This window comes from Homo sapiens, chromosome 15 (genome assembly GCF_000001405.40).
Source record: "Homo sapiens chromosome 15, GRCh38.p14 Primary Assembly".
Classification (NCBI taxonomy): Eukaryota; Metazoa; Chordata; class Mammalia; order Primates; family Hominidae; genus Homo; species Homo sapiens.
In genome coordinates this window covers 70,855,797-70,879,282 of record NC_000015.10, presented here as the reverse complement: position 1 = coordinate 70,879,282, position 23,486 = coordinate 70,855,797, and the positions used below count along the sequence as shown (strand labels likewise).

The following is a 23,486-nucleotide window of genomic DNA, read 5'->3' as shown; positions in this document are numbered from 1 at the left end:
AATATATTCCAAGAGGAAAATGTAGTCATAATGAAGAGACATGAGGAATCTCAACAGAGAGATGGAAACTAAAAAAAGAACCAAATGGAAATTCTAGAGCTAAAGCAGACAAGCTATCGAAACTGGCACAAGGAGAAACAGAAAGTCTGAAGCGCCTATATCTGTTAAAGGAATTGAATTTGTAATTATAATCCTTTCCACAAAGAAAACTCTAGGCCCAGACGACTTTACTTTCAAATTCTGTCAAACAACATAAGAAAGAATACCAATCTTATACAAGCTCTTCCAAGAGAAAAGGACTAGAGAACACTTCCCATCTCATGAGTTCAGCATTAACCTATTACCAAAACTAGGCAAAGACATTGCAAGAAAAGAAATTATAAACCAACATCCCTTGTAAAGTTATGTGTGTATCTTAACAAACTATTAGCAAACATATCCTGCAATACATTATACAAATAATACATCACATCTAAGTACAGTTTAGCTCAGCCACACGAGGCTGGTTTCACATTCAACAACCAATCAATGTAATTCACCATATTAAGAGAACGAAAGAGAAAAATCATGTCACCTTCATCTTACTAGATTTAAAAAACATTTGACAAAAGTCAACATCTATTTATGATAAAAACCTACCAATAAACTAAGAATAGAAAGGAATTTACTTTCTTCACCTAATAGCAGCCATGAATGTATGCCACTAAATCCATAGTTAATGTTCCCTTACAGGCTTTATCCCTAGATCAGGAAAAATGTGAGGATGTCCATTCTTCAATACTTTTATTCAACATCATACTGAAGATCCTAGTTGGTGCAATAAAGGCAAGGGGAAAAAAAGGAAAGAAGGCAAAAAGGAAGAAATGGCAAAACAAAATGCACAGATGTTTAAAAGGAGGAAATAAGGTTGTCCTTTTTTTAGAGATGATATGATTATGTACGTAGAACCTCCTAAGAAATCTATTAAAAAGCTACTAGAACCAATAAATCAGTTTAGCAAACCAAATATGCAAAAATCAACTTCATTTCTATATGCTAACAATGAACAATTGGAAACTGAGATTAAAAAAAACTGGTTTCATTTACAATATGGAAAATGCAAAGAATTTATTTATTTATGTATTTATTTATTTTGAGACAGAGTCTCACTCTGTCGCCCAGGCTGGAGTGCAGTGGCGTGATCCTGGCTTGTTGCAAGCTCGGCTCCCTGCAAACTCTGCCTCCCGGGTTCACGCCATTCTCCCACCTCAGCCTCCTGAGTAGCTGGGACTACAGGCGCCCGCCACCACACCCGGCTAATTTTGTTTTCATATTTTTAGTAGAGACGGGGTTTCACCATGTTAGCCAGGATGGTCTCAATCTCCTGACCTCGTGATCCACCTGCCTCAGCCTCCCAAAGTGCTGGGATTACAGGCGTGAGCCACCGCGCCCAGCCACAAAGAATTTAAAATAACAAACTGTTGGAGAGCAATAGCAACTGGAACTCTCCTACATTGCTGGTAGTAATACAAAATACTACAAGCACTTTGGAAAACAATGTGGTAAACTTTCATGAAGGTAACATACCCATATCATTCAACCAAACAATTTCACTCCTGGGTACTTTACCAAGAGAAAACACATGTCCACACAAAGACTTTTACACAAATGCTCATAAGAGCCAAAATCTGAAAACTCAAATGTCCATCAACAGGTGAGTGGATAAGGAAATTGAAGTATATCCAAATAATGAAATTATCTTAGAAATAAAACAAACATATACAAAACAACCTGGATTAATTTTGAAAGTATTATGCTGAGTGAAAAAAATCCAGGCACAAATAAAAGTACACATTCTATATTTCTATTTGTATAAAATTCTAGAAAAGAAAAAAATCTATAGTGACAGAAAGGAATCCATCAGTGGTTGCTTGGGACTAGGGCAGAGGAACATTCCCTGCAAAAGTACGCAAGGAAATGTTTAGGGGAGATGGAATGTTTTATACCCCAATGTGATGAGGGTTACATTAATACATACATTGTATTAATAGTTGTATGTAAATTATACCTTTATAAAGCATGTTAAAGAAAAAGCAATACACTATTATTTTGCCAAATGATAGTTCAAGCAATAAATTCTGTAGTTTCTTAAGGTAGGCTTCACAAAATAGGTGGAATTGTAATGGTCCTTTAAGGAGAGAGAGGATATAAATATGCTTTAAAAACCAACAGGAAGGACTGAAGGCCCAGAAAAAGTCAGTAGAGACACGGATGCATAAAAAGCAAAGGATGAGTGAGAAGGAGAGTGGCATCATTAGACTGAAGATTTACAAAGGAGTTCTGAAAGATTCAGATAGACAAGCAGAATGTTGCCAGAACAAGCGGAATGGCCTTTAACCTTTGGGCACTGAATGAACTTTTCAGATTTGGGGTCAGGAAAGTATGTTAGGCAAATGAATCTGGAGCATAGCACAAGAAGAATTGGAATGGATTAAATTTGTTAGAGATGGCATGCCTTTGCAATAGTCCTGGCTTGAGAAGGTAAAATATTGACCTAGAGTGAGGAAAGGCAAAAAATGGAGAAGATAGAAAAGGAAGAATTGACTGGACATGGTGGTTACTTTACGGATTTGTGAACAAGGAAAGAGTAAACAATGACTGAGTTTTCAAGTGTGGGTAACAAGAACTGGCAGTACTATTAGTACTATAAGAAGGAGCCAATCTCGGGAGAAAGGTGCTGATTTCAATTTTAGAAATGAGTTGCCTGAGAAACCTACCCTGACCCTACCCTCACCCTCTCTGAAGACTGGATGAAATGTCACTGCATACTACCAAAGCATGTCATGCATAGCCCATCATGGCATTTATCACCTTGTGTTGTGACTGTTTACTAATCTCCCCCACTAGACTCTACACAGCCTGAAGGTAAAGACAGTAGTTCACTGTGCCAAGCACTGTTCTAAGGGTCTAAGGGGTTTCCAAATGTTCTTCCTACATGGTAAGGTTTTACAAGCATTTGCTAAATGAATACTGAATGTTGAGTTTCAGAAGATAATGAAACAGGAAAGCAGATGTGTTTCTCAGGCAATTCGAGTAGTGAGGTGTAGAGATGTAGCTTTCAGAGGCATTTACATGAAAGTGATCGTTGAAACCATGATGTAGGATCCCTAAAGGAGAGTTTTTAGACTTCCTGTGGCACTTAAAGTCTTCATTATTTACCTGGCAAAAGTGATCGAAAATGAGAAGCTGGAGAGACCAAGAACATGCACTTAAGCCTGTCTTATCCATTAATTGAATTAACTTCTGAATATTCAAGAGTTGGCTCTGCAGATAATCCACTAAAAAAAAAGAAAAAAGAAAGAAACTGTCTAGCACTTGCTCCTTGCATCTTCCCTTTATGTACCAAGAATCATGATCAGTGACATTTAGGAAAGTGGGAGAAAAAATTATTGGGACATGGCAACAGCCTGGATGCTTCTTTCACCCTGGCTGAATACCGAAGTTCCAATCTAGGCTCCAAGACGCTTATCGGCTATAGTGTACTTAGATAAATTACATTATCTCTCTGGGCCTGAGTCTACTCCCATGCAAAATTGTGATTTTAGTACCTACAACATATTTCTGTTGAGAAGATTACAATATGAAAAACCTAGAACACTGCTGGGCACATGGTAAGTGTTCCATAACTCTTAGCTAGAGGCAGGAAAGGATATTGCCTAAGAGGATGGACTTTGTAACACACTACCTAGGCTTCCATTCTAGTTATGCCAATTACTAGGCAGGTTACTTTGCCTTTTTGGGCCGTTCCCTCATCTGTAAAGTACGGCTGTTTTTAGTTCCTCGATCATAGGTTTGTTGTGAGAATTAAATGTATGCTAACCACTTAGAACAGCACCTGACACATTGTAAACATCATGTTAAATATGACTTATAACCCATCAACCCCTTACCCATATATCTTGATTCCGAGCCCTGCCTTTAGTTATGTCCAGTCTCTTTTGTGGCCTCTCATTTTAGTCAATAGTTAGTACACTGGATGTTTTCTAAGTTCATTTCACAGAGACACTAGATGGAGTTGCTGAGCTAAAGCACCAAAGAACTGCTGGGCAGCCGAATTGGAATTTTGGAGCTGAATGGAACTTTAGGGATGGTCTGGTTCACACTTTTATTTTGTAGATGAAGAAACTGAAGATCAGAGAAGTTATCTGGTATAATCCCAGCCTGCAAATTGTCTTAGCAATCCAATGTCTCCATTTCTGGCAAAATTGATCCCACTCTTCATCAGAAATGACTGAATAATGAAGCTGGATGTGCTTGCAACTCTTACTTAGTGAAATCATCTAGAACCATTTGATCAAACTCAAACAATCCTGTAAGCCCCACAGGGGCATGCTGCTGTTGTTCGCTGACTGCTCTGTCTACAATGCCTGGCATGTAGTTCAGTTAATATTTGTTGAAGAATGATAGGGATCTATCATGTTTTTAAAGCTTTAGAGATTGAAAATCTTCCTCAGTACTTGTTCCAATGCTTTCTGAAGGGGATTCCTCCTCATGTAGACTTATTCCTTTCACATATATGTCAGTCCTTTTCTTCTTTTTCTAGATTCCCTGAAGGTGTTATAGCTGGAAAAATCTTCCAGTTAAAATGCCTCATTTTGTCAATGAGGAAATTAACTGAGGCAATTTGTCCATACTCACATAACTGATTAGTGGCAGAGCTGAGATTGAATTTTCTGTAGCTTGTCATCTAAAAACCAAAAAATGCAAACCGCTTCAAAAGACTGTCAACCTTCTTCCACCTGCTCTTTAAATGTTCCCCAACTTGTCTCCAGGTCATAGTCTCCAGCTTATTATCAAATTATCAATTTGATTGCTTCCCACTTGGAGCAGGCTTACTATTTACATCCTTCCTTTTCTTGATCCCAGTTCAAATAACTAGCCTATTCTATCATTGCTGCCCACCCACCTGCCCTTTGTACCTCCTGGCTCTTAATCCCTGTCTTTGAGAAGAAAAGGTAGATCCTCTTTCTCACCTAAACCAGCAGGGATGGGTTTGCAGATATTCCAGGGAGCTCATCCCTCCCTCGTTAGTGTCAGAACAGAAGGATCCCAGACATCTAGAACACTTCCAGGATTGTTCCAAGATGGCGTTTGCAGTTCCGATCAGAGTCTCAAAAGTTATGTTGGGCTCTGAGATAACATAACCCAGGGAAATCCCCAAACAGAAGGTTCCCTAGCTGGACTAAATGACATTCACACACTGGTTTACTAACAACACCCAGGAAATGTAGAGTTTCTACAGTCAAGGACTGTATCCTTGACATCTCAATCCCTTTCTACAGTTCCATGTACCTATTGGTTTATTCTTTACTAAGCCTACCACCTAGTTGCAGTAGATTGTAAAAATAGCCAAAAATTCTTCCACTCCCATCAAGAGGTAAAATCTATTTCTCCACTTCTTGACTTTGGTTTGGTCATGTGACTTACTTTCACCAATAGGACATTAGTAAAGGTAATATAAACTGAGGCTTTAAAAGTGCTTGAGCCCTGGGCTTGTCCTCTTGCTGTGTTTGGAACTCTAGGACTACCATGTGACTGAGTTCAAGCTAGCCCCCTATGGAGGAGACTCCATGTGGAGAAGCAGCTGGTCCCTTGCAAAGAGCCCTCCAACTGTCAGACACATGAAGGAAGTCATTCTAGATCATCTGGCTGCCTCCAACATGCCAGCTGACCAGAGAAGCATGAGGAAGTCCAGCAAATCCGCCAAGCATGCCCAGAGAGAAGAGCTGCCCAGTCAGCCCATGCAACTGTAAGATGAATCAATGGTTGTATTTTAGGCCATTAAATTGTGGGGTTGTTTGTCATGCAGCAAGCACTACCTGATACACTAGTGGTAAAGACTCCCTAAGGAAAAGGCAATCACTATTTTCCTGTTCCCTCCTCACCATGACCCTCAGTTTTTCATTCTTGTATAATAGCTTTAGTTAGTATTTTGACCGTATATGATGTTTTAGTTCAGTGAGGGGATAGCAGAGTATAATTGTTATACAAAATTATGTCAACTGAAAGTGTAGACTTACCTCAGCTTGGCAATCCATCTTTAAAAGTTATGTCAAGTTGGCTGGGCGAGGTGGCTCACTCCTGTAATCCCAACACTTTGGGAGGCCAAGGCGGGTGGATCACTTGAGGTCAGGAATTCAAGACCAGCCTGGCCAAGATGGTGAAACCCCGCCTCTACTAAAAATACAAAAATGAGCTGGGCATGGTGGCGGGCACCTATAATCCCAGCTACTCGGGATGCTGAGGCAGAGAATTGCTTGAACCTGGGAGGTGGAGGTTGCAGTGAGCGAGATCGCACCACGGCACTCCAGCCTAGGCGACAGAGTGAGACTCCATCTAAAAAAAAAAAAAAAAAAAAAAGTTATGTCAAGTTTATAAGATATTTTGAGCCAGAGCCATTTCTCTCACAAGTCTTGGAATCTCTTGGAGAAAACGTCCTCTTTCTCTCTAGGGTCTCCATGGCTGTACATGCAAATCACTCTCCTCAGTGGATATGAGAGCTTTCTGAGATGCTGCCTATGGAACTTGTCTGGTCTCAATTTTCTCTTTTTTAAAAATGCCAGCAATTTCTCCTTCTTGACAATTTTCTCATCTTTTTAGAACACACACTTTTTGGAAACCCTAAAGCGTATCACAACTTTATCTTTGACATCATCTCAAGCTTCTAAACCCAGTCCCAGAACCGGACCCTTTGGAAAGTTACTTCCCAAGCACTTATTCCCTAGGCTCATCTCTTAGCACCAATATGAATGTTTTTTCAGTCATTCAACAAACCAGGGATAAAACTAAGTACCTCTCCCTCCCCCTCGCCCTCCCCCTCCTCCTCTCCCTCTCCCCTACGTCTCCGTCTCCCACTTTCCGCGGTCTCCCTCTGATGCCGAGCCGAGGCTAGACTGTGCTGCCGCAATCTCGGTTCACTGCAACCTCCCTGCCTGATTCTCCTGCCTCAGCCTGCCCAGTGCCTGGGATTGCAGGCGCGTGCTGCCACGCCTGATTGGTTTTTGTATTTTTTGGTGGAGACGGGGTTTCGCCGTGTTGGCCGGGCTGGTCTCCAGCTCCTGACCGTGAGTGATCTGCCAGCTTCGGCCTCCCGAGGTGCCAGGATTGCAGACGGAGTCTTGCTCACTCAGTGCTCAATGTTGCCCAGGCTGGAGTGCAGTGGCGTGATCTCGGCTTGCTTCAACCTCCACCTCCCAGCCGCCTGCCTTGGCCTCCCAAAGTGCCGAGATTGCAGCCTCTGCCCGGCCGCCATCCCGTCTGGGAAGTGAGGAGCGTCTCTGCCTGGCCGCCCATCGTCTGGGATGTGAGGAGCCCCTCTGCCCGGCCGCCCAGTCTGGGAAGTAAGGAGCGCCTCTTCCCGGCCACCATCCCGTCTAGGAAGTGAGGAGCGTCTCTGCCCGGCCGCCCATCGTCTGAGATGTGGGGAGCGCCTCTACCCCCCCGCCCCGTCTGGGATGTGAGGAGAGCCTCTGCCCGGCCGCGGCCCCGTCTGGGATCTGAGGAGTGTGTCTGCCCCACCACCACCCCGTCTGGGAGGTGAGGAGCGTCTCTTCCTGGCCGCCCCGTCTGAGAAGTGAGGAGCCCCTCCGCCCAGCAGCCGCCCCGTCTGGGAAGTGAGGAGCGTCTCTGCCCGGCAGCCACCCCGTCCAGGAGGTGGGGGGCAGCCCCCGCCCGGCCAGCCGCGCCGTTCGGGAGGTGGGGGGCGCCTCTGCCCGGTCGCCCCGTCTGGGAAGTGAGGAGCCCCTCTGCCCGGCCGCCACCTGGTCTGGGAGGTGTGCCCAACAGCTCATTGAGAGCGGGCCATGATGACGATGGGGGTTTTGTCGAGTAGAGAGGGGGGAAATGTGGGGAAAGGAAAGAGAGATCAGATTGTTGCTGTGTCTGTGTAGAAAGAAGTAGACATGGGAGACTCCATTTTGTTCTGTACTAGGAAAAATTCTTCTGCCTTGGGATGCTGTTAATCTATAACCTTACCCCCAACCCCGTGCTCTCTGAAACATGTGCTGTGTCCACTCAGGGTTAAATGGATTAAGGGCGGTGCAAGATGTGCTTTGTTAAACAGATGCTTGAAGGCAGCATACTCGTTAAGAGTCATCACCACTCCCTAATCTCAAGTACCCAGGGACACAAACACTGCGGAAGGCCGCAGGGTCCTCTGCCTAGGAAAACCACAGACCCTTGTTCACATGTTTATCTGCTGACCTTCGCTCCACTATTGTCCTATGACCCTGCCAAATCCCCCTCTCCGAGAAACACCCAAGAATGATCAATAAATACTAAAAAAAAAAAAAAAAAAAACTAAGCATGGCAGAATCAGTCCCTGCCCTCAAATATCTTGCAGCATATCTAGAAATTCTTAAAATAAGTTGCAATCATTTTTTAGTTACAATTTGATTCCCAGTGGGGAAGAAATTGAGATGATGACCTTGAAAGGGTTAAGAATTACCTACTGCTGGCTGGGCACGGTGGCTCACACCTGTAATCCCAACACTTTGGGCGGCCTAGGCGGGCAAATCACCTGAGGTCAGGAGTTTGAGACCAGAATGACCAACATGGAGAAACCCTGTCTCTACTAAAAATACAAAATTAGCTGGGCGTGGTGGCACATTCCTGTAATCCCAGCTACTCGGGAGGCTGAGGCAGGAGAATCGCTTGAACCCAGGAGGCGGAGGTTTTGGTGAGCCAAGATCACGCCATTGCTCTACAGCCTTGGCAATAAGAGCAAAATTCCATCTCAAAACAAAACAAAACAAAACAAAAACAATTACCTACTGCTTATACCAAATGGTCCTGTCTTGAAGTGTATCACTCTTTGGGATTGATACAACTTCACATGAACCTCAAGTGTCACAAAAAAAGTGGTAACCAACTATAGTGCATTTGCTCATGTTTCTAAAAATGGTAAACCACAGTTGAGCTAGTGTGATACTGCAGCAGAATTTTTATGACAAAGTGTGGGCTGCTCTGCAGCAATCCCTCCCAATTCAATTTGCTGATGACTCATCCATTCCAATCTTCATGTTTATAAATCAATGGAGAAAACCATGCTCTATATCTTTTATTCTGCATCAGTCTTTGCTGTTGGAATCCTCTTAGCTTAGTACAGAAAAAGAATTTTGCTTGGACACATTCCAAACTTAAATTGTCCTCTGGATTTTGTACCAAACTGAAAGAAACCAAAGAAAACCTCTCAGTTTCTGAAGCTCAGAGTGTCAGAAATAAGAGGGTCTGGATGTAGGGGCTAGTGAGCAAATAGGAAACTTTGCACTAAATAATTTTTTTTTTTAGCTGCAGCTCAAGATTTTAATTTTAATATTTTTCTGTTAATAAAATCAGTAATAAACTCAGTGTGGGAAGCTGATTTTAAAAAAGCAAACACGTACAAATAAGCAAATAAAAATCACCTGTTAATTTAGGACGCAATTGCAAAGAGGAGAAACCCACTTTCACTAGCTCAAGGCAAAAAGGGAGAATATTGGAAGCATAACAGGGACAAGGGTATTACAGTTTAATATTTACAACCTCTCCCCATTGCCTGCTTTTTAAGAAGGATTTGTGCCTGTGTGGGTGGGCTGCTGCATGTGTGTGCTGGTCAGCTCCTGGGCCTGTATTGTACTGACAGTAATCGCTGATAAAGCAGCGGATCTGTAGTAGCCTCCTCTGCTTGCACACAGCCTAAAATGCCCACCAGCCCTACTTAAATATATGTACATTCCACAGCTGTCTAGCCCTAGTTTCTGGGTTTAGCAGTACAGTGTTTGATAGACACTCACTAGTAGGTTCACCCTGGATCACATGTCCCTACAGCCAATCGCCTACCACTGAAAGGGTGGGATCATTTGGTTTAAATATGGCAGTCTAAGAAGCTCCTTCCAGAAGAGGGGAGGCTTTGAGTGGGATAGATTATTTTAGAAGATTAGGCAGGGAAGAAGTGAATGGCATCTATAGAACAAATATAATACTATCCAGAAATCATTACTGTTAACATGTCAGTGTGTTTCCTTAGTTGATATGCTGTTTGTAGAAGTATATATGTATTATATAGTTGATAAATGATAAATAAAGCTCTGTGACCTGAGCTTTTCATGTATTATAATAATCTATCATAAACATTTCTTTTTATCATTAAAATTTTTTTTCCAATTACTTTAATGGTGGCATAATACTCCACTGTAGAGATATTATTATAATTGATAAACTACTGAATATTCATGTGATTTCCAAGTATCTATCATTTTACATAAAGCTGCAATAGACATCCCTATACTTTAATCTTTGTGCTTATTTCTGATTATTTTCTTAGAGGTACCTAGAAGTGGGATCAATGCCTACAAATATTTATTTACTGCCAATTTGTTTTCTAAAATGTTTATACTAACTTGTACTACCACCCACAATGATTAGATGGGATTATCTCATCTTAGCATCAGCTCTTACCTATTTAGAAAAACGAAACAAAGCATGACACTGAAGCTTGTCACTGTATATAGTTTTTGCCTCTCCTGTATATTGTATTCAATTCCACATTTGGGGTGACCCAAGTTTAAAGCTGAGATTCTTATGGTCCCCAGACCAGTTGCATCAGCATCACCCGGGAACGTGGTAGAAAAGCAAATTCTCAGGCTCTACCCTAGACCTACTGAGTCAGAAACTCTGAGAATGGGAGCCAGAAATCTGAGTTTCAACAAGCCCTTTGGGTGATTCTGATGCATGCTCAATTTTGAGAGCCACCAGTTGAAAGCATTGAAGAGTTCTGCCTAAGCCCTCACAGTGTTTCCCCAATTTTGAGTGACCAAATATCATTTTCTTGGCCCTGACCATTTATAAGGGACAGTGTGATGTAACATAAGTATAAGGGATTTTAGTTTAGAGGGCCTGAGTTGTAATAATTGGATGGCTCCCTACTGGGTACGTATCCAAGCGCATGTCATAATAACGTATTACACTGTCATAGCTTACATTTCAAGGTGAAAATTTCTCTATATCATTTAGCCCCAATAGAACACTGGAAGGAAGTTTTAGCTAAGGTTACCCCAGATGTTTCATGGTTACACAAGAATACAAAACAAAACATGTTTTCCCCACAGAATGAAAATACAATATAAGTTTTCTTTAGCAGCTGTGGCTGGAGATTGCAAAATGGAATAGTCTGGCCACCCTCCAAGCCATTAGCACCCCCCTCCCTTTCCCCCAAGGGTGAAAGACAATCAAGCCAAAGAGAAGGAAAAACACTCTGCTCTCAACTTGACAGCTAATACCCAGAAACGGAGCTGCCGGAGCATCTGCGATGTGTCAAAATAGAGATGACAGAGAGGAGTACAGAGCACCTCACCCCACAACCTCTAGATCAGACTAGTCCACTTTGAATGGCTCTCAGAAGCAGGACCCCAATACTCATCTCAAAGAAATGCGTGACAAGATTGCAGGCATTGTGGTAGATGTGGTAGAGAAAATTGGGGAGCAAAAGTCTTTCCAGTGCCCTTCATATAGCACGCCAGCAATGACTGTCTTTTTCACCTGGATTTAATAATGCCCCCACTTCTGAGACTGTTAAGGACTGTTAGGCCCATGGCATCTTCAGAAGAGTGCAGGGTGGGATAATGGGAACAGCATAGATTTGGAGTCTGACAGTGTGAGGATAAATCTTTATGCACTTCCATATCCCAGCCGTATAACCTTTAGCAAGTTACTTAATTTTGCTGAGCCTTAGTTTTCTAACAATACCTCACTGGGATCATTGGGACTTGGGACTGCTGCAAGGGTTAAATGAGGTCATAGGCCAAGAACACAGTAATTGCTCCAAAAATGGCCATTCCCGTCATCTCTTGGACAGTACTTTGGTGTCTTCTTCACCCTGATGTGAAGGACACAAAAAATACTCTGTTGATGCTCAGAAGAAAAAAACAAATCTCATCATGCATTTCAAAACTTCTTCACAGGAAGTTCTTTTCTTCTCTATGCTCTTGTCTTTCAGTCTTTCTTTTGATACTTCATGGTGCCCCTTACAAGCCTCTTTCTCTGGAGAGTGTCTGATATGAGGATTCCCGTCACAAAGGCAGGCCTACATGACTCAGCACAGTTCTCAAGTAGACCTTCTTCCAAAGAGGGTGAAAGGAATGAGAGAGCAGGCATTGAGATGTGCTGTCTTCTGCTTGGACCTTGATAGCCTTGGGCAACTTGGCCATCAGGATTCCGTTCCGATCAGCCTCCACTTGAATTCTCTATAATCAGGTACCCAATGCTACATTAAGTCCATTACCAAATCTTTAACCCCAAAGACTTTCCAAAGGCCAGACTTGGCCTTGAGTCGATCTGGAGTTCAGGCCAGGTTCATAATTATACCTTATTTCAACTTTCCAACCCCAATCTCTACTTGGCCAATCATTTAATGACCCTGGGGGATTCAAATCTGGAGAATAAGGCAAGGACTGAATGAAATTGTGTTAATTTCTGTCCAATTTAGTTAAATTTTCTTAAGGTGTGATTGATTTCCTTAGGACCTTGGTATATGGTCCAGTGCTGCTTAGCCAATGGGTTAAGTATCTCCAGATTCCCAGATATTTTTCTACCCTTATCTATATCCCGTCACTGCATGAAGACCCTGAGGACTTAGAAGTTAAGGTCTTAATTTGATCTTGAAGATGATTTAAACTTCTGGAGTCTCATCTGTAAGGCCAGGACAGTTGCACAGAATGTTTGTTAAGATTTCCATGCAGAAACCTAACCTAATAAGACTCAGTGAACAGGGGTATGGAAATTACCAGTGGGCTGCAGCCTCACTATTTAAACATGTCTTAGTGGCCGGACGTGGTCGCTCACGCCTGTAATCCCGGCAATTGGGGAGTCTGAAGCGGGCGGATCACGAGATCAAGAGATGGAGACCATCCTGGCCAACATGGTGAAACCCCATCTCTACTAAAAATACAAAAATTAGCCAGGCATGGTGGCACACGCCTGTAGTCCCAGCAACTTAGGAGGCTGAGGCAGGAGAATCACCTGAACCCGGAGGCAGAGGTTGCAGTGAGCCAAGATCGCACCACTGCACTCCAGCCTGGGTGACAGAGCGAGACTCCATCTCAAAAATAAATAAATAAATAAATAAATAAATAAATAAATAAATAAATAAATACTTTACATGTACCAGAACTATGGGGATACAATGAGATTAGAGTAATGAGAAAGATATACATGTCTCTGCCTTCATGGAGTTTACTGTCTATTGGGAAATTCAGATGTTAAACAGAGTCAAAAATATGATGCATATTGCAAGAGTATAAACACAGGATGCTATGAACCTACTTATTAACCAAGTGTGGCTGCATAATATCGGATTATTCATTTTAAAAAATGTTTCACTCTATGCCTTGCAACCATTCAAGCAAATATCCAAGTCCATACCTCCTTGCCTCTAGGGTGACCAATTCATCTTGGCTTGCCCAGGATTTTCTTGGTTTTGACACTGAAAGTCCCATGGCCAGGGAAAACTCTCAGTCCTCAAAAAACCAGACAGGTAGGTTATACTTCTTGCCTCAGGGAAAGTCTGGGGCAGAGTTCTCTGGCTTTTGTTTTCAAAAGCCTAAATTCTTTAGGATAACGGACATGAATCCTTCAAAAATTCAATGTCATGAAGCAACAATAACAATATAAAATGGTGAAGGGACTATTCTCGATGTAAATAAATTAGAAGGACATAAACATCAAATGCAATGTGTGACTCTAAATTGGATCCTGGTTTTTGTTCTGAAGCATAATGAACATTCTTGGAATGAAACATTTTGGGGAAATGAATATGAACTCGCTATTAGATAATTTTACGGAACTATCAACAGTTTTGTTAGACGCAACCATGATATTGTGGTTTTGTAGGTGAATGTCTTTCTCTTTAGAAGACAGGCTGAAGTACTGAGAGGTGAAAAAAGATGGTGATAAATTTTTAACGATTTTTGAATTCAGTAGAGTGCATAAGAATGTTCATTTTATTATTATTTCAACCTTTCTGTATTTACGAAACTAATACAAAGTTTTGGGAAAGAAGCCAGTAACCACTAAGCAGAATAGAGATTTGGGTTAAGAGAAATGGCCAGGCATGGGGCCCACACCTGTAATCCCAGCACTGTGGGAGGCCGAGGCAGGAGGATTGCTGAAGGACCCAAGTTCAAGATGAAAGAAACTTGTCCCTGAATTGGAAAAGGCTTCTTCCAGAATGGAAGCAGGAGAAAAAAGGAAGAAAATGACTGTGCTGGTGGTGTTGACTCTAGGCATATGGGGTTATAGAGGGCCTAGCAAAGATCCTAGTGCCCCAAATTTGGCACTGAAGCAGCTAAGAGAGCCCTGACTTAATGATATGGACATCTCAGTTGCTAGATTCCCGGATACACAGATGACTGATGAACAGACACCTGGAATTTTGACCCTAGCCCAAGTTATGAGAAGAACCCAAACTGAAACTGAGATTCCATTTCCATCACCCCAAAGAGTTACATTTTCTCCACATCTGAGTTTATGGACAGCATTGAATGTCCCGTACACTAAACTGGCAAATCCAGAAAAGTTCCCCTGAGTGATATCTTAGCTAAAACCTGAAAGATTAGAAGTTTGCCAGGTAAAAAGGAGAGAATAAGCATGTCACGCATCTGAAACTGCACGTTTAAAGGACAGAAGAGTGGTGCCTTCAGATAAACTAAGAGAAATTCAGTATGGCCAGAGCAGAGGGAGTGAGGGCAAGATGGACATGAGATGAGGGTGGAAAGGCAGCCTGGAGCCAGAATGCTCTAGGCCTTCCAAATTAGGCAAAGGAAATCACCCACACCTCTCCCCTTGGGAACTCCAGGGCCCTGCTCTTCCCTCTCAATGCCTCATCCATCCTGGTGCCCATGCCTCAGGGCCTCTCGGTGTCTTTAGAATGTGCAGTCTGGGCTACAAATTAGAAGTCATCCTGATTAGGCACCAAGTTCTTGCTGTAAAAGTGATGACAAATGGAGAGAAACTGAGTCTGTCACCCATTCTGGGGGGAGCTCTTTCCACTTGAGCCCTTTTACCCACTAATGTTATTAATACACAAACCTAGCCCCTCAAACACTGCCCAAGTATCTGTGGACATTCCCCGGGGGTGTCTCATGTGTGTTCATAGACGAATCTAGCTAGTCACCACCTGGTGTCTGCATGTTGTCCCTCCTTTACTGCCCCAGCCTCCTCTGCTAGACTATACCCTATCCAATGGGCACTACAGGCACTTCCCTGGGCACAACTGTGTCCACCAGGCACCAAAGTCTCCTCCTGCAGCTGATGAGCAGCACAGAAGGTGCCAAAGCTGTGAGATGTTATTCTGAGCAGTGGCAAAAAATGCCTCCCCTCGTGATGTGCACCCTCAGATAGTGGGATCCCAAAGTCATATTCCTTGTGCTGAAATAGTTTATAGGGGTTATAGGAAAACAGGCTTTTCAGTTTTCATGTACAGTCCCCCTAGCTTTCCACAGGGCTCAGATACATGACCACAGAGGTTGGGTAGCAGGGCCTTGGCCCACAGGCAAACAAACACATATCAGACGCTACTCTGTCCCCCAAATCACTCATCTTTTCTGACAATGGAGGCTTTGTTAGTGAGTCAGGCTTGTGGTGCCTGGCTCCTATTTCTCTGGGATGACTATTCTTCTGGGAGGAGCTTCAGTCCCTCCTGTAGGGATTTTTGAATCTGCTAACTGGTTCTCTGAATATGCCAGATATCTGAACTCCAGCAGAGGTCATAGTTTGGGCTCCTCCTGGGACCCACAGCTTTTGTCTGTCTTCTATTAGACCAGAATACTTGAGAAAAGGATGGGGTCTTGTTTGCTCTCATATCCTTGAATGGTGGCATGGGCCTGGCATGTAGGAGATGTTCAATTTGTTGTTTTTATTGAAAGACCATCCCATACCTTCGGTCAGTGGCCACCAAACTTCAGCTTGATGGAAACCACTTGGGAGATTATTAAATACACAGATTTCTAGGCTGTATCTTCAGAGATATGACTCATTTGATCTGGAGTGAAGATGCAGGACTATACATTTAAATAAGTTCCTTAGTAATTCTGATGCCCGTGGTCCTTGAATTTCAGTTTGCCTCTACCTTAGGCAGGCCTGAACCAGGGCCACTATTGGCACAAAGGACCACTTTAGCTCATTTGTGAGAATTAGAAATAGTTACCCTTTTCCCCTCTAGTTGCACCAAGTCTGAGGCCAGGGTGACAGCTTGGTGAGCAGAGTTTAGGCAGTCATTTCATCCCTTTATCCCCTATGCCAAGCATCCTCGTGCTGTGTACAACCTGAACAATTGTTTGCAGCAGGCTGGTCTGATGCCTGCTCCTGCTAAGAAATAGTGCACATGAGAAATGCATCTTTGAGTCACCCAGTCCCTCAGTAAACTCTAGGAAGATGCTGGGGTTGAATTGTGCTGGTTACTTGCACCTGGAGATCAGATGAACCACTAGCCTGAGTCTCCAGACCTGTTGGGAGGAACCTGAAAAATATGGCTTGAAAGACCGAACACAGAGGTTCTTGAATTTTGCTGCATGTTGGAATCATTTTGGGAGCTTTGAAAGCTAGGTATAATGCCTGATGCTTAATGTCTAGGTCTTAACCCCAGAACTTAATTGGTAGGGCATCAGAATTTTTTTTTTTTTTTTTTTTTTTTGAGACGGAGTCTTGCTCTGTCGCCCAGGCTGGAGGGCAGTGGTACAATCTCAGCTCACTGCAACCTCTGCCTCCTGGGTTCAAGCGATTCTCCTGCCTTAGCCTCCTGAGTAGCTGGGACTACAGGCACGTGCCACCATGCCCAGCTAATTTTTTGTATTTTTAGTAGAGACGGGGTTTCACGTTGTTAGCCAGGATGGTCTCGATCTCCTGGCCTTGTGATACGCCCGCCTCGGCCTCCCAAAGTGCTGGGATTACAGGCGTGAGCCACCGCGCCCGGCCAGCCTCAGAATTTTTAAAAGCCCCCCAGGTGATTCTAAGATTCTAACATGCAACTTAAGTTGAGAATTTCTGACCTAATGAAGCCCTCACCCTGATCAGGGAGAAGCATTGACTGCTGTGTGTCTTCCTGGGGAATGGAGGACCAGGGTGGGCTCGCCCTTCAGGCCGGAGTAGGCAGCTGGCTCTCTTGCTATGTGTGGTCCAGCTTTGTGTAAATTCTTTAGGTTTTCCCTCAAGAAAAAAATGAGTACCTGTGCCTGTGTTTCTTAGAATTTCTACCAATCACTTTCATACCTGCTGTTACTGATCACTCGCCTAGATCTAGTCCTTCTTTCACCCTTCTAAAATAAAACCCATCTATTTTTTCTTTTTAAGACAGAGTCTCACTCTGTCACCCAGGCTGGAGTGCAGTGGTGTGATCTTGGCTCACTGCAGCCTCCACCTTCTGGGTTCAAGCAATTCTTCTGCCTCGGCCTCCCGAGTAGCTAGGACTACAGGCGCACACCACCATGCCCGGCTAAGGGTCTCCATCTATTTTTAACTTGTGACATTCCTCATCAGTTTGATAAACCAGTCCTCCACAAGACATAAATGGCAGGTAAAGCTTGAATATACTTTCCAAAGTATGTGTCAAAACAATTTGATAATATGCCACAAAGAAATTAATATTATGAGAGCAAGACGTTATCTTTAAATGGTGGGACCCAAACTGGGGATGTTGTTGCTTTGTGGGGAGCACCTCAAACTTAGGGGAGTGGGAGACAGTACTGAGGGCCTTTTAGAAAACCCTACTCTTTTTACCACCTGCAGCAATGACCCGACTTCCATTCATAATGCTGATAATGCTATTCTTCTGAAGGGAGAGAAGAAGAAGGAATAAAGAATCTGGTTCCCCCACTAGAACACGAGCTCCTATGCTAATAGGGGGAACTACATTCTATTCCTTTTGGACTCCTGCATCATTTGTACCACATAATTTGCCTGCTTTTGCCATGCAATAAATGTTTAAGTTGTTACATTCAAATTCAACACCAATTTATTGAGTAGCTACTATATCCTAGGCCCTGAACTAGGTACTTCCATGTGTTATATAATTCAATCTTCTATTAATATTAGGCATTAATATCTAATACTTTAGACATTAAGTAGGATATAGGTTAAGTCTGTGACAAAAATATATCAAAATACAGTCTATTAGACAAAGTGTGAGATTCTTTCTTTCTAAAATAATGATCCACATTACAGCCCAGCAAACAAATCCAGAGCGTGTTTGCTGGTTCAACTCTCCTCAACATGTGACTTCCATCCTTGGGTTCGACAAGGCCACTTTAGCCAATGGGTAGAGGAAAAAGCCAGAGACACACAACCCAGAAGGGCCAGAAAACCTTTCTGTTCACATCCTATTGGCCAGAATTTAGTTACATGATTATACCAATATGCAAGGCAGGCTGGGAAATGTAATCACTAATTAGGTGGCCATATAGCCATCTAAAACTGGGGATTGATATTGTTAGACAAGAAAGAATAAATATTAATGGACAATACTCATAAAAATCTCACACCTATGGATAACTATCTTAATTCATATTGAAGTTAGAAATAAACTATAGGGCAGAGTGCAATGCCATATACCTGTAATTCCAGCACTTTGGGAGGCCAAGAGTTAGAAACCAGCCTGGACAACATAGAAAGACCCTATCTCTACAAAAAACTTAAACTGGCCAGGTGTGGTGGCATGCCTGTAGTCCCAGCTACTTGGGAGGCTGAGGCAGGAAAATAGCTTGAGCCCAGGAGTTTAAGGATACAGTGAGTTATGATCACTCCACTGCACTCGAGCCTAGGCGACAGAGTGAGACCTCATCTCTCCTTTTTGTTTTTTGGTTTTGTTTGTTTGTTTGTTTGACAGTTGGTAGGGCTAGCTGAGGTTTTATTTAAAAAGCAATTGAATTGTTTTGTAGCTGGAGGCATGGGTAAGGGGTGTCCCCAGGCAGTAAACTCCCCCGCGGGTGGGCTGAGGGCTTGGGCTGAGCCTCAGGTGGGTCTCCTGTTCCCTGTGATACCATGCACAGCGGCCTCCTCCAGGGCCCTGGGGCAGCCGCAGGAGGGGTAGGATGGGAGGGGCTGCCGCGTCTGTTCACTTAGGCAGGATGTCAGAGGACTTGGACACCAGCTTCCCATCACGGGTCTCAATCTTCTTCAACCACAGCCCTGGTGGAGCCGGTGCGGCTGAAGGAGCTGGAGCCTGCGCCAGAGCCAAAGCTGGAGCCCAGGCTGTAGCTGAGGCCGGGGCTTGTGAGGTCCCCATAGGTGGAGCTCAGACCACCTGCATAGCCGCTGGTGGTCTTCGTATGGATTGTCATGTTCTGCATCCCAGACTCCAGCCGGCTCTCCTCACCCTCCAGCAGCTTCCTGTAGGTGGCAGTTTTGATGCCCAAGGCCAGCTTGACATTCATCAGCTCCTGGTACTCACGCAGCTGCCACACCATATCCTGCCTGGCCCATTGCAGAGAGGCCTCCAGCTCGGACAGCTTGGCGTTGGCATCCTTAACGGCCAGCTCCCCACGCTGCTCCACATCTGCGATGGTGGCCTCCAGGGAAGCCATCTGGCCTTTGAGGCCCTTAATCTCAGCCTGGAGCCGGCTGATGTTCCAGTTCATCTCGGAGATCTCAGTCTTTATAGGCTGCAGGTCATGCCCAAGCTTCCCAGCCAGCGTCTGCAGCTCCTCATACTTGATCTGGTGCATGCTCTCAGCCTCCGCCTGGCTGCGGTTGGCAATCTCCTCCTACTGCACCTTGACCTCAGCAATGATGCTGACCGTGTCCAGGAAGTAGCTGTTGTCCATGGACAGCACCACAGATATGTCCGAGATGTGGGACTGCAGCTCCCAGATCTCCTCTTCAAACAGCTGCCTGAGGAAGTCCATCTCGTCAGTCAGCCCTTCCAGGCAAGACTCCAGCTCTATCTTGTTCATGTAAGCTTCATCCACATCCTTCTTGATGAGGACAAATTCATTCTCCACCTCTGTACGCTTATTGATCTCATCCTCATATTTGTTCTTGAAGTCCTCCACCAGCCCCTGCATGTTGCCAAGCTCCACCTCCAGCTTCAGCTTCTCCTGGCTCAGAGTCTCCAGCTGCCACCTAAGGTTGTTGATATAGCTCTGGAACATGTTGTTCTTGTTGTTCCGAGCCATCTTCTGCTGCTGCAGGAGGCTCCACTTGGTCTCCAGCATCTTGTTCTGCTGCTCCAGGAACCATACCTTGTCTATGAAGGAGGCAAACTTGTTGTTGAGGGCCTTGATCTGCTCCTTCTTTGGGTGTGTAGAGCCTGGATGTTGGGGTCCACCTCCAGGTTAAGAGGGCTCAGCAGGCTCTGGTTGACCGTGACAGCGGTGATGCCTCCCATACCACTGGCCCCACCACCCAGCCTCCACCCAGGCCACCCCAGAAGCTGCTGCTGCCCACTCGGGAGAATCTCAGGTGCTGATGCGGGCACTGGGCCCACTTGTGTAGGAGCAGCTGCTGAAGGCCCGGGGGCCAGAGGTGGACATCTTGTAGGACTTCTGGGTCACCCTGATGGACATGGTGGAGGCAGGAGTGGAGGCAGGCGGGCTGAACCAGGCGGAGATTCCAGAAGGAGCAGAGAAGCTGCTTCTTGGTCCTTTTTTTGTTTGTTTTGTTTTGTTTTTAATTGAGACCAAGTCTCGCTCTGTCGCCCAGGCAGGAGTGCAATGGCACAATCTCGGCTCACTGCAACCTCCACGTCCCGGGTTCAAGCGATTTTCCTGCCTCACCCTCCTGAGTAGCTGGGACTACAGGCACCCGCCACCAAGCCTGGCTAATTTTTTTGTATTTTTAGTAGAGACAGGGTTTCGCCATGTTGGCCAGGCTGGTCTCGAACTCCTGACCTCGAGTGATTTGCCCGCCTCGGCCTCCAAAAGTGCTGGGATTACAGGCGTGAGCCACTGCACCCAGCTGTGAGACCCTGTCTCAAAAAAGAAAAAGAAAAAAAGAAACTATAGAAAGATGCTGGTTTCTGGCCAGGGAAGTCCTCGATTTTGTCAGTGTATTCAGGATTAGGTTGGCTCTGAAGCAAAACACTTCTGCAGACCAGATTCAACTTTTAAGAGTATGGCATCTAGAAAAAAACTGATTTATTAATTTACAATGGAGCAATATACATACTCAGCAACTGGAATGTTTGTGTTTCCCATTCAGGCTAAGGTTTTCTTGGTATGAAGGTTCTTGGAACGCTGCATCATAATCTACTAGCATACACTGAGTGTCTAATCTGGGCCAGGTCTGTGCTAGACATTTTTCACAAACAACCTAGTTTTATCTGTGAGCCCAACTCAATTAAGTGAGGATCATTCAGAACATTTTACAGGTAAGAAAACTGAACAGCAGAGAGGTTATGAAGCTAAGCAGCAGCAAGGCTGGAGTCTGAATTCAGATCTATTTGATAATAAAGTGAGCGTGTTTCCATTATACCCTGCTGCTTATGTGTGAGCTTTTCTAGTCAGCTTCAAAGCATCCTTGGGGATGTTTTCACTGGCTGTGCCTCCCTATATGGATTTCTGTTACAGCATTTAGTGCATAGACACAGTCTTATTATTGAAGGCTGTCTTTCCTAGGCTCCCTCCATCTCTTGGTATTCATGGATCATGTCTCAGGCATTTTACAAAATTGAGTATAGCACAGGTCCTGGTATTTGGGACATGCTTAAACAAATGATTAAATGAGTAGATAAAAATGCCCTCTGAACCTACAGTTAAAACAGACCCCTTTTTTTTTCCTTTAATTTGAAGATGGGGTCTCTGTTGCCCAAGCTGGAGTGCAGTGGTGCCATCATGGTTCACTGCAGCCTCGACCTCCTGGGCTTAAGGGATCCTCCTGCCTCAGCCTCCCGAGTAGCTGGGACTACTCTTCTTCTCTTCAACGCTTAGCCTTGTCCCAACTTCCCAGCTTCACCACAATATCTTATTCCAAGTCCTTGGTTTCCAGCTGTAGTGCCAGGCACACTCAAAAATATTTCCAATTGATTCCAAACAACACCCTTGTATATACTGGAAAGGTCTTCTAGGGTTGAGTTTTTCCTTCAACCTAATCTCAGTCCATCCTGATGGCTTGTCAATGTGCTTCCTTTTGTTTCATCCTCAGGAGCTATGGAAAAAGCTGTTTCCCCTTGTGAGTTTACTATGAAAATGAGCTGTCAAGATTCCAGGGAAGGGAAAGATGCCAACTCCAGGCTGAGGTCATGATTTTGTTTAAAGAGGCTTTGCTAATCATCTCAGTGGTGATGCAAACTCCCTGCAATGATGTTCAAGACAGGCCTGGGTGGGACTGGCCTCCCTTCCCCTGCCACGGCTCTGGGGAGGAATAAGCTGGAAATCGAAAGGAGCCCTTTAAAAGCCCTGGTTTCTTCACCAGTGACACAAATGATGGGTATGTGGGTAGGACTAATCAAAGCAAATCAGCAAGTGTTCCTAGATGAAGGCTCCCTGCTAGACAAAATCGGGTGCAACAAAGTGGAAGAAGAGGCCCTTCCCTCTAAGCCTCACTGGGACTCACTCTCCTCATTGCAAACGTGATCGAGTTGGACTTCTCCCATGAAATACCCCTAGTGCAAATGAGGGTTTCTGTCCTCCGCTCCTCTAGGCATTATTCTAAGCCAACTACTATAAATGAGAAACTTATGTGAGTTGCCTTAAACATTCCGTGCAAGTTTTGCATTTGATTTCACAGATATTCCAAGTTGTTTTAATATATACATTGTGGCTGTTCTCTCAAATAGCTAAGTAAAATTGATACCCCAGAAAGATGCCCCATATTTATGCTATGACTTAATGGGTACCCCTAAGAGTACCCATTCTTGGGTACTCTGCCAGACTACCCATTCCCTACCAGGAGCAGCTCCGAGCTGGATGATGTCTGACATTCTTTCTAGATCCAAAATTCCTTTATGAGGAGTCAGAAATAAGTAATAACAGAAACAACATAGGCAGATATGTTTGAATGTAAGGACATATAAATTCAATTTCTTTTTTTCAAAACTCTCACCAAGTAAAACGCTTCTACAGCCCAGATTCACCCACCAACTGTCAGTTTTCAAACTGTATTTTCAGAATCTATATTTTAAGAAAAGTCCCCAGGGGACTCTTATGATCAGGCATTTGGAAACCCTGAAAAGACATGTATGAATTGTTCATAAACTATAAAACCTGAGATGAATGTGAGCCATCATTGTGGGTAAGGATAACAACCCCTGATGTCTTTGCCACACGAGATGGCTTAAATGAGATAGATAATGGGTATCACTTTGTGAAATTCAGGAACCGAAATTATCAAACTGGAAGGCATGGTGGCTGCTGCAGCTCTTTCCTTCTGAGCCTCATCACAGGTGTTTGCAGAGGATCTATAGCCCTGGAGGGAGGCACAGCTGGCTGGAAAAAGACACTGTCAGCCTCTTGCCTCTTCCTTTCCCAGTAGCTCAGATCCAG

At 44.1% G+C, this 23,486-nt stretch overlaps 1 protein-coding gene and 1 pseudogene across 1 annotated transcript in view, besides 5 other annotated features; both read right to left on the bottom strand.

The window, feature by feature from the left end:
* Positions 1-23,486, bottom strand: part of LRRC49 (leucine rich repeat containing 49) — a 200,281-nt gene that overhangs the window by 174,376 nt on the left and 2,419 nt on the right. The window contains exon 2 of the mRNA NM_001284357.2: positions 6,060-6,375. Coding sequence (NP_001271286.1) covers positions 6,060-6,077 — 18 coding nt within the window. The 5' untranslated portion in view covers positions 6,078-6,375. The remainder of the gene's footprint in view (positions 1-6,059; positions 6,376-23,486) is intronic.
* Positions 1,210-1,386: a silencer, noted in NCBI's record as "fragment chr15:71170236-71170412 (GRCh37/hg19 assembly coordinates)". NCBI's record gives its function as "represses an EF-1alpha promoter that drives an FKBP-Casp9 reporter gene in an ReSE screen in K562 erythroleukemia cells {active_cell/tissue: K562}" and the evidence as "EXISTENCE:reporter gene assay evidence [ECO:0000049][PMID:32094911]".
* Positions 2,934-3,133: an enhancer, noted in NCBI's record as "active region_9701". NCBI's record gives its function as "activates an Ori minimal core promoter by ATAC-STARR-seq in GM12878 lymphoblastoid cells {active_cell/tissue: GM12878}" and the evidence as "EXISTENCE:reporter gene assay evidence [ECO:0000049][PMID:35858748]".
* Positions 3,144-3,203: an enhancer, noted in NCBI's record as "active region_9700". NCBI's record gives its function as "activates an Ori minimal core promoter by ATAC-STARR-seq in GM12878 lymphoblastoid cells {active_cell/tissue: GM12878}" and the evidence as "EXISTENCE:reporter gene assay evidence [ECO:0000049][PMID:35858748]".
* Positions 7,476-8,033: an enhancer, noted in NCBI's record as "NANOG-H3K27ac-H3K4me1 hESC enhancer chr15:71163589-71164146 (GRCh37/hg19 assembly coordinates)". NCBI's record gives its function as "activates a minimal SCP1, AML or CMV promoter by ChIP-STARR-seq in primed H9 embryonic stem cells {active_cell/tissue: H9 hESC(primed)}" and the evidence as "EXISTENCE:reporter gene assay evidence [ECO:0000049][PMID:30033119]".
* Positions 8,034-8,589: an enhancer, noted in NCBI's record as "NANOG-H3K27ac-H3K4me1 hESC enhancer chr15:71163033-71163588 (GRCh37/hg19 assembly coordinates)". NCBI's record gives its function as "activates a minimal SCP1, AML or CMV promoter by ChIP-STARR-seq in primed H9 embryonic stem cells {active_cell/tissue: H9 hESC(primed)}" and the evidence as "EXISTENCE:reporter gene assay evidence [ECO:0000049][PMID:30033119]".
* On the bottom strand, positions 18,921-20,646 carry KRT8P9 (keratin 8 pseudogene 9; annotated as a pseudogene).